Source organism: Homo sapiens, chromosome 11 (genome assembly GCF_000001405.40).
Source record: "Homo sapiens chromosome 11, GRCh38.p14 Primary Assembly".
NCBI classification, from domain to species: Eukaryota; Metazoa; Chordata; class Mammalia; order Primates; family Hominidae; genus Homo; species Homo sapiens.
Genome location: NC_000011.10, coordinates 97,896,900 through 97,918,122, shown reverse-complemented (window position 1 = coordinate 97,918,122; position 21,223 = coordinate 97,896,900). Strand labels below are relative to the sequence as shown.

At 32.9% G+C, this 21,223-nt stretch overlaps 1 long non-coding RNA gene across 1 annotated transcript in view; it reads left to right on the top strand.

Annotated features, from left to right (window-relative positions):
- Positions 1-21,223, top strand: part of LINC02713 (long intergenic non-protein coding RNA 2713) — a 78,303-nt gene that overhangs the window by 38,961 nt on the left and 18,119 nt on the right. The window lies entirely within an intron of this gene.

Sequence of the window (21,223 nt, the reverse complement as noted above, 5' to 3'; positions counted from 1 at the left end):
ATTTAAAATCTTTGTTTAAAATCACTGTCTTATATGTATTCTGCTAATATGGATACATAGTACAAATTGAACATAAATAATTTTTAATAATTTATTTTCACCCTGTAACAGTAGCACAGTTATCTATTATGCTGTATTATTTATATTTATTTCAAATAATCAGCTATTGGTGAGAAAATGGCTTTCAGATGAGTTGTTAAGTTTAAATGTCAAATAAAGGCAGATTAAAGCATTTTTGGTTTGATAAAATATTTTAATGTGGTTTAATTAACATAAGTTCTTATTATGATTTCACTTCAGTGTTTTCATGACATGAAAATAGTTTAGCCATCACTCTATGCAGATGTTCATGAATTATTGATCTAATCTCTGTTTAACCAAAATCACATTGCTCCATTTTTTTCATAAATGGTGTATATTATGTAAAAACACAAAGAACTCGATTATTCATGAATTTGAATGATGCTTTAAAAATAAACCAACATTCCTTAAAATAAATTCAAACAATGTTCAGTTACATGAGCGTTATTTAACTTCTAAAAATACATGTAATGGTCATGATTATTAGATATAATTTGTACGTTAAAAACAACACAATGACTACAGAACAAAAGATTTGATTACTGAATTGAATAAATTGTACTCAGGCTATCAGATATTAATTTATCAGACCTCCCTTTCAGTAAATCTGTATATAAACATCTAAGGTGGAATGCAATGAATTTTTATCTTGAATTTATTTTATTTAAAGTGAACTGTGCAAATGTTAAAATTGGACCGCTATAAAATGTTAACTTTGAGCCTGAGCCATAAATCTATTTTGAGAAGGCAAAAATTGGTTTTCTTGTAAACTTTTGTTCCGCTTGAAGTCCTCAAGAATATTCAAGGACAAAAATATGTCTCTTTAATTTAAAAGGGTATCTATTTTTACATGCATGTGAAATGTTGCATGCAGCTTTTCTACCTAATTCAATCCCTTGGTATGCTGCAAAATCGGTTTAAAAACTTTCTTTCTTTATATCATGGCTGAAGATTGTTTTCAAACAAAATCTCCTGAAAGGAGAATGTAAGTATTTTGGAGAAGGAAAAAGCACTGGTTAGTTGGTTGAATAAGAAATACATATAAGTGTGACATACTGCTCCGTCATGTTATTTAGGTGGAAAAATGATGAATATATGATGCTTCTTTTCCTTTCAAGGCAATGCTATGTCTTATCAACAAATACTTACCAGCATGTACATTGCTGCTCAGAAACACATTTGATGATGGATCAGAAGTTTCCTCCTATTTAATGTGGTGATAAAAATAACTTCTAAGTAATTCAGTTCATAGAACCATGAAGGACTGGGTTTGAGATTATGCTTTGAATACCATAAAGTGATGAACACAGAGACTGAGAAAAAAAGAGGAGGAGAAGGAGTGGAAGGATAAATGTATGTAAGAAAAAAAGAAGCAAATAAATATTATAGCTGATTCTTTCTTCATAAGGAGTGTTATTGCTTTTATGAACACACTCTCTGAGAGCTATATTTTATTAAGAACCTATTATCCACCATGTGATTTAAGTAAATTATCACATTTAATTATCACATTTAAATATCACCAATATGTTCTTCATATAGAAGACCTGATAATCGAAACTTAAGTAATTTGTTCCTGATTATGGAATTGGGTACAAGCATGCTTCCTAAACTCATTATTTTCCCATCACTTTAGTTTTGTATCCTGTTGCTTTGAGTCATGAGCTGCATTGATTTGTTCTCTGGTCTTGGGTTTACGAATTCAAATATGTGGGTACTATGGCTCAATTTAAATGCCACATTTTCAGTGAAACATCCCCTGATCTTCCAGGTTGAGGAAATTCTTTTATTTCAGAGCACAGTTCTCAGTTAAGGTCCTCCTTGCACTGTTCCTTGACATACTGTTAATTTTGTAAATATCTTTACTAAACTGTAACTATTTGAGGGCTGTACACTTGTTGTCTCATTTCTACATTCCCTACATCTTTACTAATGTTAAATATGTAATAAGAACTGAGAAAATGACCCATTTATAAATGAAAGGATAAAAGAGGGGGAGTAGTATTATAGCATTAGTTATTAGTACATCTGTTAATTAAATGTCTTTGAAATAGTTGATCATAGATTCTTTAACTTCAAAATTCAAAGTAGGATTCCATTTTGTACTGACATCCTGATTTTCAAAATTTTTTAATAACCTTAATTTTTGCATTGGTGAGAATTTTTCAGTCATCCAAAAATGGAAATGACATTCCAGACTTAATAAGAAACAGGAGAGAGATCAAAAAGGCATGATAGTACAATACATTGTGCTTTGGGGAAATGACACCAAATATTTTTCACGTAGAAGATACTCCTCTACAATTGCATTTGCTTTACAAATACTGATTTATCAGCCAGAAAATATCAGGTTCTAGATGGGCAAATTGCAAATTATTTCTCATTTTGAAAATTCAAACATTTCAGGGAGAGAAATTCTGAAATGTTTAAATTAATTGAACTAAATCAAAATGGAACTAAATCAAAATACATAAAATGGCAATTATGATTATATTAAGTTGTCAAATGACTTCATATAAATGAATATACTAAGTAATGATGAGGGCTGTCATAGAATGAATTGATGTCCACTAAACATTCTTTTCTGTGACCAATCAGAGAAAAAGAACATTTTGTAATAAAAGGTTCTGGTGGCTTACTGTTACAAACTACATTAGATGTGAAGGAGTGATGTTTTTAAAATACTGAGAGAAAAAACATCAACATAGAATTCTACACTCAAATTATTTTAAGAAATTTAGCTGACATAAAACAAATACATTTTAAGAAAAGCAAAAGCTGTAAAGCTAAGGAAATTTACTGTCAGTAGATAGACTTGCACTAAAAAAAAAAGAAAGAAGAGGAAAGAAAAATCAAGGTAGATTTTTTCACCAGATTAAAATTTGGGTCTCAACAAAGGAATAAAGAACGATGAACATGGCAAAAATATCAGAAAATATAAAACATTTTTCTAATCATTAATGCAAATGTAGCAATATATTTAGGGTTTATACATATACATACACATATATACACACGCATATACATATATATACACTATATATACACATATGCTCATATATATACTACATATATGTATATATACTATATATACATATATACTACATATATAGTATATATACTATATATACATATATACTACATATATACGTATATATACTATATATACATATATACTACATATATATGTATATATACTATATATACATATATACTACATATATACTTATATATACTATATATGCATATATACTACATATATAGTATATATACTATATATACATATATACTACATATATACGTATATATACTATATATACATATATACTACATATATACTTATATATACTATATATGCATATATACTTATACATATATGGAAATTATATGTCACCAACAGTATAATAGAAGTCAGTGAGAAATTGATGTGTATATTTGCAAGATTTTCACACTATAAATAAAGTTGTATATTATTCAAACTTGACTGTGATGAGTTAACAATATAGGATGTAAGTTTTAAAGAAATAAAGAAGTATAGCTAATAAGAAAAAGGTGGTTATAAAGCGCAATCACAATATTTATTTAAATAAAAGGACACAGAAAAAGTGGGAAGTACAGAAACAGATTAAACAATTGAAAATTAAATGGCAAAATGGACAAATTTTGCTGAATTACCTTGGTAATTATATTAATTTTAAATGTTTTGAGGACTTCAATTGAAGTCACAGAGTGTAAGAAGGATAAAAACAAAATTCATGGTAAATATAGACAAAATTCTGCATTAATAAAGAAGACTTGAATAACATTACTAACCAACTTAAAGTCCATTTTTTATAGAACATTCTACATAATATTATAATAGTGGTTCATAGTCTATCCAAATACACATGGAATATTCATAAATACAAGAGAACTTATTGGCCACAAAACACATTTTAGTAATTTAAAATTATTGAAATCTTAAAAAGAAATGTTCTTTAATGATGAAGAAACTAATCTGTTAATCAATGACAAAAATTACTAAGTCCACAAATATGTGGATATTAACAAACTTAAAAAGAGGTCAAGAAAAGAAATATCGGCCGGGCGCGGTGGCTCACGCCTGTAGTCCCAGCACTTCGGGAGGCCGAGGCGGGTGGATCACGAGATCAGGAGATCGAGATCATCCTAGCTAACACGGTGAAACCCCGTCTCTACTAAAAATACAAAAAGCAATTAGCCAGGCGCCGTGGCGGGCGCCTATAGTCCCAGCTACTTGGGAGGCTGAGGCAGGAGAATGGCGTGAACCCGGGAGGCGGAGCTTGCAGTGACCCGAGATAGCGCCACTGCACTCCTGCCTGGGCGACAGAGCGAGACTCTGTCTCAAAAAAAAAAAAAAAAAAGAAAAGAAAAGAAATATCAATAGAAAGCAGAAAATATTTTCAATTGAATAAAAATATTTAAAAAATCAGAATTTATGAGATGCATCTGAAACAGGGTTTAGTTGTAAATTTATAAATTTACTTGTGTATTTAACATGAAGGGTTAATGATCAAATTAATGATCTAAATTTTTTCCCAGAACAAAAAAGCTAAACTCATATTAACTATAATCAGGAAAATATTAATAATAGGTGAAATTAGTAAAATAGAGACACAAGCAAGAGAGAAAAACAAAATAAAAAGCTATTTTTTCCAAAAACATTAAGAAAATTCATAAGCTTTTAGAAAGGTCGATCAAAGAAAAAAAGACAAAAATTACTAATCAGAAAACATTAATGATATCATTGCCTGTTTTGTAGAAGCTAAAAATGCATAAAGGCATATTTTTAAAAACTTAATTTTTATCACTGTAGATCATTTTGCCAGTTTTCACATATAATATATTGAATTAAGCAATATGTACTTTTTTATATTCAGCTATTTTTCTCCAACATTATATTTTAAAGTATTTATTCATGTTTTTTGGTGTATCAATAATTCATTTTTATGGTTGAGCATTATTCCATTATATAAATATACAAGAAATATTTATTCATTCTCTTGTTGATGGATATTCGTATTGTTTCCAACCATTATACACACACACACACACACACACACGTATACACATACACACACACTCTCTCACAGCCACTATAAGTATACAGTTTTTCCATTATTATTTTTAGTTATATTAGGTTGGTGTAAAAGTAATTGTAATTTCTGCAACTGAAAGTAATGGCAAAAACCGCAATTACTTTTGCACCAACCTAATAGCTGTCTATTCTGGGTTTTAGCTGGATATGCCACCACTTAGTCACAAACTACATTTCCACTTTCCTTTTAAGTTAGATATTGCCACATAACTATGTGCTGCACAAGGGGACATAATTAGAAGGGATGTGGGTACTTTTTAAATAATGCATTTATAAAGGTTTTGCTCTTTGCTTATTACTTCTTCCTTCAGGCCAAAACATAAGCATTAAGCATTATTTTGGGGTGCTAGCTTTGACTATTTTCTTTCCCAAAGAACAAGATACAAAGAACCTAAGTTCCTGACTGGTCCCAGGGAGTAGCCCTCCTTCTATCCCCACCTTGGAAATCTTGCCTTTGGATTTTTACATAAGAATAATTAATCTTCTACCTATTTTGAGCCTCTGTTTTTTCTGCTGTCTTTGTTACATCAGCTTGAACTATATCCTAAGCAACACAACATACATTTTCATTGTTTACATCTTTGATATAAATATATGCAATACAATGATTCTCTAATTTTATTAGGAGAACAATCTGCTTATTATTTTCAAAAGCAGATTCCTAGGATCCATTTTAGCATACTCTGATAAGTTAGGGCTGGAATGGGACCCAGGTATTCTAGATGAATTTTATGTGCAAGGTTTGGAGACCACAGTTTTAGACAAACTTTTCTGTATTTTCCTATGCCTGGGCCAAATAGTAACTTTTTTCACATCAAATGCAAATGACATGTCTTGTAATAGAATGATATATATTAATGTATATGTAGAGGAAAATGTCATGTATTTCCAGAAATAAACAGATGTCTATTAGTAGAAAATCACTACTGAGAGTAAATGACCTTGTACAATTGCAAGATCAATTGCACAAATTCAATTCTTTGTATAAAAGTTTCACTTAACTCAAGCCACTCTTCTTTTCTTACTACCATTCTATCCAAGGCATGTATTCCATATAGAACAAATACTTTTTCTCAAAATTCAAGCCAAAACATCTTACCAATTTTATTTTGCACATTTGTGGCATGACAAAAAACTTAAATAATATGTCCAATAATCTAAAGAGAACACAAAGAAAAGAATTTACAGAACTTGGAAACATGGAAAAAATTATCCTCTAAGATACTATTTTATGCACTGTTATGGGCTGAATTGTGTTGCCTTAATATTATCATGTTGAAACCCTACCCCCTAGTAACTCAGAATGTGGCCATATTTGGAAATAGGACCTTTAAAAAGAATATAAATTAAAATTGAGTCATTGGGGTGATTCTTAATGCAATACGACTGGTGTCTTTATAAGAAGAGGAGATTAGGACACAAAGAACAACATGCAGAAGTGCCATATGAAGACACCAAAAGAATAGCACCATCTGTAAGCCAAGGAGAGAAGTCTTAGAAGAAACCAACCATGCCACCACCATGATATCAGACTTCTGTCTCCAGAATTATGAGAAAATAAATTTATGTTTAAGTTATTCAGTATGTGGTACTTTGTTATAGTAGTTGTAGCAAACTAATACACAAGGCTAAAATACACACACACACACACACACACACACACACACATTAAACTCCAGAAAGTTGATTACCTTGCTTGGCACCTTCTTGGTTTGTTTGTTTGTTTGTTTGTCTTGTTTTCTGTCAATGTACATATACCATAGCCATTTTGCCATTTTCTTTCTATTACCAATTGATGAATAATTTTCCTATTGTCATCTCCTTAAACTTGAAGAAAAGATCATGCTCCATAATTACTGTTCTTAGTGTTCTAAAGTTCCAGAAACATATAGATAATTGGGAGCTTGGATTACAGAGCTACTTTACTTGATTCAAATCTAGTTTTGACAGTCTTTAACTTCTTAGTTTGAGGCTAGTGCTTTCATAGCTTTTAAAATTGAGATAAGAATAGTGTCTACCTTAAAATGTTATTGTATTGATTAAATGAGATAATACATAGAAGGCACAGAAAAATGTGCATGACCAATAGAAATGTATATGATCATAATAATGAATTCAAACTAGAATCCTCTTAAGAGTGATACAGGGTATTCCTCATACTCATGCCACTACACAGTCATAAACTGGGCACAGGTAAACATAAAATATGCCATGGATATCAGTTGTTTTTATTATTAATAAGTGATAAGAATAGGAAAATAGATATTGTTAATGTCCCTGTAGTTCTTGACACAGATTACAGTTTTTAGTCACTTCTATATAATTTCATGACCCCTCTCACCCATTTTGTAACATGATCAAATCCATTTAAAGCCTTCAACACAGGCATTTTGGGATGACTTTCCTGATTATATTATAGCTTCCCTAAAAGCTCAAATCAAGTTTGTACCAGATAATACTCACATCACTCCTCAAATAAGACATAGCTGTCTGTTAAAGGATCAGTCTGCCTTTTATTACATGATCAGGAACTTAGATATTCTTGCTCCCAAAAATGTGAAATGAGATATAAACTTTCTGGGCGGTAAGTACTGGGCCTATAAGATCATGTTGATTCGTGGTTGGTTTTTAAGATCAGCCTTGTACATGCAGAGAGGGTTGCACATAAGTGCTTGTGCCCTAGGTTGTCGTCTCAAGCTTATGAATAGCCCAATTTTACTCGTGTGGTTTATCTTGTGTGGTTTCCTTTATTTCAGCCAAGGAATCCTTAAACTACTCAGATGAAAACTATTTTAGAAATAATCAACAGGAAGGAATATATACTAAGAATAAGCATGCATACTCTGAAAGAAAGTTCAATATCTCAACACAGGCACACTTAACGATTACAATATATAAAGCTAGTTGCACGTAAAGCACTCTGGCAATAAACCTTCAGTAGAACAAATCATGGTTGCTTTTTTGTTTGTGTCTTTTGATTTGTTACTTTAAAATTTTATTAATCCCTATACAAAGCTCCCCAACTTAAGAAAAAAAAAAAAAGACTTTGGCAGGCTTTTCAACTAAACCTAAGAAAGAATGCATTTTAAAATGCTTTTAAGATGTTCACAAAGGCATGATAAATGTGCAAAGAATTAACAATTCACCTTACTTTCTATTCATTACATTAATGGTTTGTGGATAAGAAAAGATTTATGCTCATGAATGCTATGCCTCAATGTTTAGACAACTTATCCTTGCCAAAGCTGACATGAATGTAGATAAATATTGGTTTTTGACAGATTCGGATTTGCTTCAGAAATTATCTGTCAGGAGGTTGGAATGGGTCAGGTTAAAAAATATATTTATTCTTATAACAACCATCCATACCAAAATTAGATTCCCATCATTTTCAATTTTAGTGTCTGAAAAAAATGAACCTCTAAGACCCTTTTTATATTTGGAAGTAATAACCACACAATTTAATCTCCCTTAAGTAGCCATATTCTTATTTTTTTATAGGCACAGAATGTGTCTGCGTAGAAATTGCAATTTTAGGCCTCAGAACTACAGTATTTCATGCTGTGAGGTCTTTATTTTATGTGACTGCATTTGACATGTTCCCTAAAATTCAGATCTAGAAAAATAGTTTTAGAAAAAAAAAATCATGTGAAAAACAGCTTGCCTTTTACAGAATATCTTTAAAAACGTATTTCTAGCTTTAAGTTTCAATTTAATCATCACTTATTTCTCTGACGCTGTATTATTTTTTCTTAACCTTTAAACCCCCAAATAAAGAAACCATGTAATTTTATTGCGTGTGTGTGTCTGTATGTTCAAAGAAACCTGACACAACTGATCTGCAATTAAATTGTGAATGATACTAATGGATGACAGATCCAAAGATTTTTGCTGCCCCAATTCTTCACCTGTTTCTTCTGAGTACTTCCCAATATTTTTCCAAAACTGCCATTTTGTAGTAAGAAACGTCATGGTTGATGGATGATAATATCGGTCAAGTTGCTCAAGCTTTATTCCTCCATTTCAAATTGCTAGTAACTAATCTAGTAATAATTCACACAGATAGTTTGGGAAGAGGCAAGGCGTGCTTCCACTAGCTTCCTAGTTTTCTGCTCTTCTCATTCCCCACAACTGGCGTTAGACAAACTACATTCAAATTTAGATGGAAATACGAACTTTAGATACATTTAAATGTTTAAAATACTCCAATTACAATAGTAGTAACTTCTTACGAATCTTAAAGTTCTCTGAAAACTATTGTCTCTCTTGCAATTTGAAAAGCTACTGTGAGTGGGTCCCAGCAGCTCTGGATGTTGAAGGAGGGACAGCTGCCAGGCAGCCTAGCTTCTAGAAGGCTCTTGGGGCACTGTGGCCCACAGGCACCTGACATGCACCCTCCCTGCTGCAAAAATGCCCGAGTTAGAGAGGTTGTTCAGGAACAACCCCAGAGGAGATCGGTGAGGTTGTCAGTTAAACCTCCTCTGAAAAAGTGGAAAAAAAGCCCCAAAAAGGCAGCAGGAAAGGATAAATCTTCAGACTAAAAAGCGCAAAGGGGGAAGACGGAAGAAGTGGATAACCAGGAAACTGAAAGATTTACCTGCAGAGAACAGAGAAGATACAAACGAGAAGAATTCAGACTGTGGTGAAACAGGAGAGAAAGAAGCCAAATATGATTAATATCTTATACCACCTATTATCAGTTGTTTCCATCTCCCTTGTTGTATAATCCAGAGGAGCATTTTTATCAACTATTTTGTAAATGCAAGTTTTTAGAAGCTCTAGAAACATTTCATTTTTTAGTTGTTTTTAATTTTTTGGTACAACCAAAAAATACTGAGATACTGAATTATGGGAGATGTTGACTCCCTTAAGCGTCAGCTTAACTTTGCAAAGATGGGGTGCAGTAGTTTCTATATCCTATAATACAAGCATACTAAATGGCAATTTGGAGCCACAGTCGCACATTTAATATGTCTTGAACATTTTAAATTACTTCTATTCCCATGTTGTTTAGTACTAATTGTTTCCTGAAGAAATCCACTCCTTGATCTTGGCTCTCCCTGTCAGAATTGTATAGACTCTCTAACTCCTTTAAGAGTCATAGTCCAGTTTTCCCGATAACATTGTTAACGTGCTGTGAAAGACTGAAATTTTGATTAAGTAGTATATCTTACGTTAAATTATAAATTAGAGGGACTTATGTGACAGCTTATCAACATTTCCTCTTAAGAAAAATTGCCTCCAAATATTCAGCTGGAAAGTCATTGGAATAACATCTTAGAAAAGAATCGCAATATGCCTCTTTGTACGTGATTTGTTCAAAATCATGTACAAATTCAAATGTCTGTGTACTGACCCTCAACACAACCAACAAAATCACCATAAAATTATGAAAGAAAAAAACAGAGCTGAAGTGAGTACCTAAAAACCAGCTCAGAAGGCAACACGTGTATATTTTCCCTAACAACTCTGCCCCACTTTTATAACCCTTTGACCCACGCCTTACCTTCTGACATCTGTGTTTAAAGAGTTTAAGAGAAATCATTTTCCCATATGAAATAATTAATCCCACTATTTTCCCTGAGTTTAAACCAGTGAAGAATAAACAAAACCTTCAAAAAGGGGTTAAAATATCAGCCTTTTTTGTCGAGAGTAATGCTGTACTGCAGAACAAACTTGGGATCTATTGCCACAGTCATGGTTTCTGTTGTGAATTTAGGCGCTCATATTTGTAGACTTCTCAATGGCAGAAACAGAGCCTACTCTGGTAATCTCCTATTCAGAAGAAAGAAGAATGATTTCTATCACCAGAGGAAAAAAGGCAAAGCAATAACAGCAACATTTATCATCTTTGCTACACTCAATAGAGAAGTGGTATTGTGGATGATAGATTCTCAATATCTGATAAATCACTTCTCTCATGGAGGATAAAGTATAATGGATGAAAAGAAAAGAAGATATGTTCCTTCAAAGTTGTTTTCTTATAGGCATGGAAATACCTTTAAGGTATGAAGAATATGGTTTATTTAAAACTCTGGGCAATATTCCTATGGTTTCCTTTAATTGGTTCACTGATCTTGGCATCCTGGTCACTCACATTTGCATGCACACTTTATTTCATTGCTTATTATCACATTGTTAACGTCACTTCATTCCCCAGCCCTGACCCCTTCAAATCCATCTTGGCCTGGGCAGCTAAGTTTCACTAGCAGATGGAAGAAGGATAGATATACCTGTTTTATAATTTTTAGTGTGGATTTCAGGGTGAACTACGTAATTTGCAGGACCCACTGAAAAATAAAAGTGCAGGAAGTTTTGTTCAAAAAACAGGAAAAAATTCCATTAAAGGTAAAATATAAAGCCTTTTTTTTATCATTCCATGGTCTCTCCCTCAACTTGTGATGGTGTTTTTAATTTGTGTTCAATGTTGTTTTAAATAAAAATGTAAAATATTAATTATTAATATGAATTTTGCCATTCATGTTGATATTATATAATGCCAGGTTAAATGCAAATATAAGAGCATTAAGTAACATGCAGAATCACCAAAATGACACAATTCATATTCCATAGTTTATTCATGCATTTGTATTTTGTTCTTGCCAAAATGGTGGAAATACTGCACAAAACTAACTCAACTATTTTTCTTTTACTTTTCAATACATGCACATTTTACCAACACTATCTACCTTTGGCTTACTAATGAGTACAGAAGGAATTTTTAAAAATGAATTACTTTATCTTTCCTTGTCCTTCTATGTCATCATTTTCAATATGAGTGATTAGCCAATACAGGGAAGCAACATGAGTAGGAAATTATATGAGAGTTCCTAGATCCCTTATCTTACTTAGAATGCCATTGTCTTCTTCCTATGTTCAAACTAGGCTTTAGTTCAGACAGAAAGTGTGTCCTCTTGGATTTGTCAGTGCTCTTGCTTTCTCAGTCATGGATGTAACATACTTACTATGCACTTGCTTTGAGATTCATTGAACTCCCATATGTAATGACACACCTGGAACCTGATGTGCATATGTTATACAGTGAATGTTATATGCAAATGGGGGAGCAAAGAATGGCAGATACGCATATTGCACATATCCCTTCTGTTCACACATATGCTCTGTGGTCCCACTGGCAAGAGACAAGTTCAAATATAGAATTACAGCAAATCATTAAAATAAGTATGTAGTCTGATTTTGGGATGCTAAATGCCTGCACAGGTCTCACATCTATGACACCAGCCCTGATAGACCTTTCAGGCTTTCTTTTTATTCATTAAATAATTCCCAAATATACTACAAATATTTTATAGGCCCTTCAACTCTGAAATTACCACCTCCTACCATAGATCCCTCATTATTTCTCTTTTCTCTGTGAATCCACTTTTGCAGTAAACATGACTCCAAACTACAGAATCATTGTCTATTTTTTCTCTTTTTTTCTTGTTTTTATGTTTAATCAGTCTAGAATTGTTTTTGTTGGTACAATTTTATTTGTAATATTAGGAAACTACTTCAGATTGGCTTAAGGAAAAAAAAACTGGAATTTGTTGGCTCATATATCTGAGAAGGATATTTGGGGAATTCATAGAATCTAAAGAAAGAGCTACATGAAACAAGATTGTGGTTTTAATATCACCAAGAAACTGACTCCCCAACTGTGTTTCATTTCTTCTCATTTTTGCCAACAGCTTAGACCCAAATGACTTAATATTTACAAATCACTTGAAGAGCATTTCCTACATAAGTGTTCAGTTTAAAGTAGTATCATTATTTATTGTTACTATTATCATTATTATTACATCTATGTAAGAGTAAGAGGAGGCCACCCCCATCAACCCCAGTTTGGCTTTTTTGAGGGGAAGGACTTCTATTTCTCAGGTTGGATCAAAGTTTAGCACCAAGGGGAGCGGGAAAGTGTTGATGTTTAGAAAGAATTCAGATTGTTTGCTCCCGTAGAATTATAGGAATTGAGATGGAAGCTCGTATTAAGGAAATAGACTTATTCTTTCCTGAAAAATGGGAGAAATCAAAAACAATGGCTATGTCAGTTTATTATGCTCCTGATGCATGCTGCCACAAACACTTTCGTTTTTTCATTTTCTTTACCACTTCCCTATTTCGGGACATTAATTCGTCCCATAAATAATTTCCTACAATTCTATTTTAATTTATTATTCCACCTCTATTGTATCTCCCTTACAATCCTATAGAAAATTATTGTATGAATTTCCTTTCATGCAAAGCTCTGATTCATCACTATGCTGCTCAAGCACAGTTAATGCCTCTCCATTGCCTAAAACCTAATATATGAATTCTGTACATTTCCTGCATTTCCGACTCTAATCTCTTTTTTTTCAGCCAAAACCCTTAGCCCTGTAGTTTTGTCAAATCAAACAATTCATTTATCTCAAATATGCCTTGCAGTTTCTGGTCTTTTAGCTTTGTTTAAATTGATTGCTCAGCTTCAAATATACTACCTACCAATATATCTCTCTTCCCAAATTAGACAACATGAATGAAAATATTTTTTAACTATAAAACATAGTGTAACTATTACCATTATTACCATTCACCTTTAAGGTCTGTTTTATATGCTAAAGATCCCTGATAAAATCTTCCACTAATGTATTAATTTTTTAAAATCATCTCTTATGTTTCTGTTTTCACAGTAATATTTTTCTATCATTGCTCTTATTTCCATCTTTGTTCTAATATAATTCTCGTACATATTATATTTTAAATGATGTAATCTTCTTGGGGATAGTCACTCGGTCCAGTTTATCTTGTGTCTATTAGAGAAGGCCCCATAGGTCAAATCCAGCCAGCCACTTGTTAGTTTCCTTAGAAAACAATTTATTGCTTATATATACCTACGGTCACTTTTGCACTACAATAGCAGGGTAGTGGCATCACAGGTTGTATGGCCTGCAAAACTTAAAATATTTATAATCTAGCTCCTGTCCAGACTATCACATGATATTTATCAGGTAGTCAAAGAGCATGATTTGAATAAATCCATATGTATTTATTCATATTCAAACCAGACTATGAACATGCTATTTTCTGAAAGTTTTATGGAAGGACATTTTAATTTTTGATAGACTTTGTACTGAGTTTTCTATGAAATCCTAAAGGGTCTAGTTTAATATTACTCTGACAAAGTTTAATATATTTCTTGAATTGAATGCTACATATTTTGTAAATTTGTTCTATTAGGTTTGTTTTATTTGATTTATTTTCAAACAACATTTTAAAGCAAGTCAGAGACATAGGAAGAAATATAATCATAGACTAAATATTATATGAGAAATACATAGTATTTAGGTCTCTCACTGAGGTTTGGAACAAAAATGGTGAATGTGATTTATTTTGTAACTAAAATGCCAATGTAAATTAATGTTTACTTCATTCATGAGCAATCAAGATATTGCATAGTAGGAGATACATAAATCAAAATCACTTCATCTTTCTAAGTTATATTGCAGTTGATTATGTGACATTTTAAACCTAAAAATATCAAGAATTGTTTAAAGAAAAAGCAGCCAATATTCCCAAGAAACTTATGAAGTTGGCTTGCAGTCAACTTTAAGTGACTGCAAGAATCCCCGAAAAGTGACCTGCCCGAATCCCAATTTCTACCGTATATAGATTATAATTCAACAATTAATCCTCACTATAATAAAAATACTAGTCACTGATTTTCTGCCAACATCAATTCTGAAGTTAGCAAGATGTAGATAATTGTGAAATGTTTTGTTTCAAAATTTTCTTTCTTAAGCATACTACCTACACCACTTACTTTTTCTCAGAATATATTAGAGATTCATAGACTAGAGACTATAGACAATTTCTAGAATAATCTTGAATTCCCAGAAATGATAGGCAAATTTTATGTGTATTCTGGAATGTTGCCAAGTTTCATTATCTTCTCTGAAGAATCCGTGACTTTCAAAATGTTTAGAAATCCACTTTAGGTGATTTCATTCATTTCCATAATCATCAATCTGTTAAAATTTTCCAAATTAGTTTTTAGCTTAAAAGCTCCTTTGAGTTTTAGACTTAGATACACACAATGGTCTATACACCTCTCTGCTGGATTATTCTATAGACGCTGACACTCAACGTTCAATAATGGAAACGCATATATTAACTTTCCTAACTTGTTCTCTTCTTTCCTGTCTGTTAGGTGGAGGAGTGATATTAGGCCTCACCAGGTTGTTCAAGCCCTGAAACTTGATACCCTACTGAACTCAAGACCCCAAACCAAATCAATCACAATGCCCTCTCAAGTATACTTTACTAAATATATATTTGATTTCATTTCAAATTTCTTTACATGAGTTAAAATGTAAGTGATTCAAATTCTGGCCCTGTTTACCACTCTAGCTCCATTTAAGGATGTCTTCCAACCTGTGTACCTTTTTATTTTCAGGTTATATTATATGTTAGTTTCCTGGAAAGCTTTAATGATTCGCTAAGATTTGGCTAAGTGTCCTTCCTACATGTTCATTTAAAAACTATCATCTACTATTATATCTCTAGCACCTAGCATAATGACAGAACATAGAGAAGAATTATTAAATGTGCATTTATTATAATGCCAGATAAAGATAGTGAGATGAAGGGTAAGCACAAATACTTATGACAGGAGTATTTAAGAAAATAACACAAAAAAAGAAAAAGGAAAGAAAATAAATTTAAAAAAAGAAAAGAAAATAGCTTCATTTTCTTTAGTTGGTAAAGAAATCTTGAGTTCAGTAGGGTATCAAGTTTTTTTAGTTGGTAAAATGAAGCTATTTTCTTTCCTTTTTCTTAATTTATTTTCTTTAGTTGGTAAAGAAAACGAAGCTAGTTAGAAAGAAAGCGAGATGAGCAAATAAGAGAATGCCAGGAAGATAAGAAGAAAATAAAGGAGTAGGAAAGAATAGGGGGAGAGAAAGACAAAGGAAGAGGAGAAAGGAGGTGTTGATGTGATTGAGTTTAAATGTGTGAATCTATTGTTTATTCTATATTTCTTAACTTTTTAAAATACTTTTTCCTGCCTTCATAGAATTTAGAATTTTTTTTTCGGCTTTTCATTCTATCTTTGTTATTGACCTATGCCTGTTTTTTTTTTTTTTAAGATTTTCTCTAGAATTTACATATGCGTTATTAACTTAATACAGTTTGCTGTGAAATAATATCATACTTTTTCAAGTATAGTGTCAGAAAGTTATGACAGTATATTTCCACTTTCCACTTTCTCCACTGTATTGTTGTATATTTTACTTCTCTCTATATATATATTTATAAATCCAACAATTTTTTTTGTTTTAGTAATTAATGTGTCTCTTAAGTAAATTTAGAAACAAAGCAAAATAGTCTTTTATGTTTGCTCCCTTATTTATGATTTCCAATGTTCTTTCTTCATTTCTATTGTTCCCAATTTCTAATTCTTTACCCTCAGCCTGAAGAACTTCCTTTAGCATATCTAGTGCAGGTTTGTCAATGATCAATTATTTTATATTTTGTGCATTTCTAAATGCCTTAAGTTAATTTTCAATTTTTAAAAAATTTTTTGGTTTGATGAAAAATATTCTGTCCTCTGATTTTTGGTAAAAACCAGCCGTTTAAAAATCTTTATGCCCCCAAGAGTATTGTGTCACGACTTACACTGCTTTTAAGAATTTTTTTTCTCTCTCTCTTTTTTTATACAAACAGTTTGCTAAGGTTTACCTAGATATGATTTTACTTTGCCTTGGAGTTTGCTGGATTTATAGTGCCTTTGGTTGAAATTTATTATAAGTTTGGGAAATTATTCGCTATTATTTTGTTCAATTAATAAACTTTAATTTTACAGCAGATTTAGGTTCATAGCAAAATTAGGCAGCAAGTACAGAGGGTTCCTATATATTCCCTGCCCCCACACATACCCAGCCTCCCTATTAACATTCTGCATTATAGTGGAATATTTGTTATGATTGATGAACCTACATTAACATATCATTATCACCCAAAGTCCATAGTTCACACTAGGGTTTACTCTTGGTGGTGTACATACTATGAGTTAGGACAAATGTATAAGGACATGTATCTACAATAGTTGTATCATACAGAAGAGCCTCACTGCCCTAAAAATCTTCTGTGCTTTGCCTAATCATCGGTTTCTACACACCCAATCTCTAGTAACCATGGATCTTTTCACTGCTTTCATAGTTTTGCCTTTTTCAGAATGTCATATGCAGTAATACATTATTAGCCTGTTTAGATTGGCTTTTTTCATTTAGTGATATGCATTTATGTTTTCACCATGTCTTTTCATGGCTTGGTAGGTCATTTCTTTTTAGCACTAATTAGACTACCACATTTTATATATCTATTCATCTTGGCTGCTTCCGAGTTTTGACAATTAATAATAAAGCTGCTATAAATTCATAGCCGGACTTTTTTTTTTCTTTTTTCTTTTTTCTTTTCTTTTTTTTTTTTTTTGAGATGGAGTCTCGCTCTGTCCCCCAGACTGGAGTGCAGTGGCGCCATCTCGGCTCACTGAAAGCTCCGCCTACCAGGTTCACACCATTCTCCTGCCTCAGCCTCCCTAGTAGCTGGGACTACAGGCGCCTGCCACCACGCCCGGCTAATTTTTTTGTATTTTTAGTAGAGACAGGGTTTCACCGTGTTAGCCAGGATAGTCTCAATCTCCTGACCTCGTGATCTGCCCGCCTCGGCCTCCCAAAGTGCTGGGATTACAGGCATGAGCCACCCTACCCGGTCAACTAATAGCCAGACTTTTACATGGATATAAGTTTTCAGTTCATTTGGGTAAATACCAGTGAAGGCAATTGCTAGATCACATGGTAAGACAATGTGACGTTTTGAAGGGAACTGCCAAATTGTCTTCCGATATGGCTATACCATTATGCGTGCCTAGCAGCAATTAGTGGGAGTTCCTATTGCTCCATATCCAGTTTGGTTTAGACATGTTATGGATTTTGGGATTCTAAGATGTGTTCAATGGCCTATGTGTTTTGGTTCTCTCTGAAGAATTTATTTTAATATGTTGGTTCTCTCTGAAGAATTTATTTTAATATGTCTTCCAAGACTGGTCTACTCACTCTAAATGGCCCCAATTTTTGTTTGAAAATGGTTTTATTTCTCCTCTACATTATTTTGGCTTTATAAGTATTTATTAAATTTGTGTCTTATTTTGCATAATATTTATTTTTGTTGATTGGATGACCAATAATGCCAATATAATGTAATCATCATATGAAATGCCCCAAGACACAATATTATTCCCTACATTTCTTATGTCAGCTACATCTCGATAAAGCTGATCGTGGAACTTAAAATAAAATAAAATTTTAAAATTAAAAAAATGTAAAAGCTATGTTCTTACAAATGGCTAAAGTTGGTAAAACATCAGTGATAACTGAATTTTATGTTTATTGGGAATATCTGGGTATTCTGTTTGTGGATTGATAATGTTTCAATGAAAATTTTACTTTTTGTCTTTTAAATAAAATTAAAAATTATTGTATTAAAAAATTAAAAAATGAAGTGGATATCCAGGAACTTTAATAAGCAGAGTACATCACCTTACAATCATAGGTATATTTCTAGCTTAACATAAAATGAAATATAGTCAGCTACTCAATAAAAATCATTACTTATGTTATTTCTGAAAATGTTCTACTGAAAATACATACACATCCTCTTATTTTGGGAGATAATTCTACAGGATTGGATATTCTATGTTGTTGGTCTTTTTTAGTCTCAACACTTTAAATATGTTATTCACTGTCTTCTTCCTTGCATGGTTTCTGAGGAGAAATCAGATATAACTCTCACTTTTCTCCTCTATGGATTAGCTGTTTTGCTCCCCGACCCAGTTTCTTTCAATATTTTTTCTCTTTTTCTCTGGTTTTCTGAAGTTTGTGTGTGATATACCAAGACATTGATTTTTTGGCATTCATCATGCTTGACATTCTCTTACTTCCCTGGATCTGTAATTCTGCATCTAACAATAATTTGGGAGAGATTGATTGTTTCAAGTATTACTCCTTTTACTTTCTTTTATCTCCTTTAATCCCATCACTGGCATCCAGCCTTCATCCATTACAATTTAGGTTTTCCTACCCTGAACTGGTTTGCATGGAAGTTTCTGCTCCTGGGCTTCTCCTCCAGTAAGTTATGACTTACCATCTCTCTGTCTCTTCCAGTTTTGGGGGCAGTAGTTTGCCCTGTTACCTCTTCTTTCCCAGATCTAAAAAGAGTTCTTCATTTTTCAGTTTTGGTTGGCATTTTATATGTTTTAAGGTGGAGTGTTGGCTTCTAAATTTCTTACATGCCAGACTGGAAAAGAGATTTTATGTTTCAAATAGTCTTTCTGAGTCTTTGTCTCACTTCTTTTCAGACTTTCCAAATATATTAATTTTGGATAGGCTTTGTACTGAGTTTTCTACAAAATCCTGAAGTTTCTAGTTTAATATTACTCTGACAAAGTTTATGTGCCTGGCCTATTTTTTTTTTCTTTTTTGAGATGGAGTCTTGCTCTGTCACCTAGGCTGGAGTGCAGTGGCGTGATCTCGGCTCACTGCAAGCTCCGCCTCCCGGGTTCACGCCATTCTCCTGCCTCAGCCTCCAGAGTAGCTGGGACTACAGGCGCCTGCCACCACGCCTGGCTAATTTTTTGTATTTTTAGTAGAGACGGGGTTTCACCATGTTAGCCAGGATGGTCTCGATCTCCTGACCTCATGATCTGCCTGCCTTGGCCTCCCAAAGTGCTAGGATTACAGGCGTGAGCCACCGTGCCCGGCCTGTCATTGTCATTTATATTAGTCATATCTAAGCATTTCTTATTATACTTTAATTCTCTTTTAGATATATTTCTGGTATATGGCAAAATAATGGATTTCAGTTCTTAAGCCAATAAGCTTTCTTTTACCATTTAATATGTTAATTGAATCTCTTTCACTGCTGATAATAACTTTTACACTGGTTTTAATTTTGTCGTTATGGGGAAACAGATTTTTTTTTTATTGTAATCCTCAGACCTTTGTGATAGAGGATGTTAAATCAGTTCAGGGGTGGACTGTAGGATAAGAGCCTTACCTTGGCAAGCTGGGATAGCAGTAATGTATGGAGATTCTCAGGCATTAACTCTGCTTTCTCCCTCTAGATGAAGATGTGGCCTTCCTGACTTTAAGTTTGGCTTAAGAATAATGGATAGACTTGATGTCTATAAATTTAAAGGACATGTATTTGAGTCTAACTTCTTTCTGAGTCTGTACGTAAGAACAATGTGTAAAGGAGGTTATGTAAAGGAGAAAATACACTTGTTAAGTCAGAATGGACCCTCTCCTAAGGATTTGTTTACTTCTTCTTATGCAATGTCCGAAACTGTGGGCTTTTATTAATCTAGCCCTTATACTTTCCTATTTTCCCGTATTAACATTGTTAATCTGAGATGGCGAACAACCAATTTAATACGCTCTCTCTTTCTGGGGAGAGAGGCCAATCACATTTTAGGCCTTTTGAAGGTAGCCAGTTTCCCACCTGAAGTTCCTATGTGGTCTCTTTGGGAAGTGATTTTGCCAGACTCTAACTTTGAAATTTTGAGTGTTATTACATTTGCTGACACTGGAGAGAAATCCTGTATTATTATGATTTAATTCTACTCTCAACAGTTATGATACCAAATTTGTGTTTTGTTGTTGTTTGTTCCACACCTCAACCAGTTATTTGACTTCCTATACTCCAAATGGGTATGCTACAATTTAGTTCAATTTTGGCACTAACTACCTGGTGTTCATGTAGACCCCACAAACCAAGGGCTCATTCCCACAAGACTGCCCCTATTTTAGATGTCAATTGCAAGTATCAGAATACCCATATTTTTGTCCTACTTGGCTGCAAAGTTGGGAGTTTCCACAACCCTACCTTCAGGTATGATAATTTGCAAGAACAGCTGTCAGAACTCAGAAAAACAGCTTACTTACTATGACTGATTTATTATAAATGACAACATGAAAGACACAAATGAAC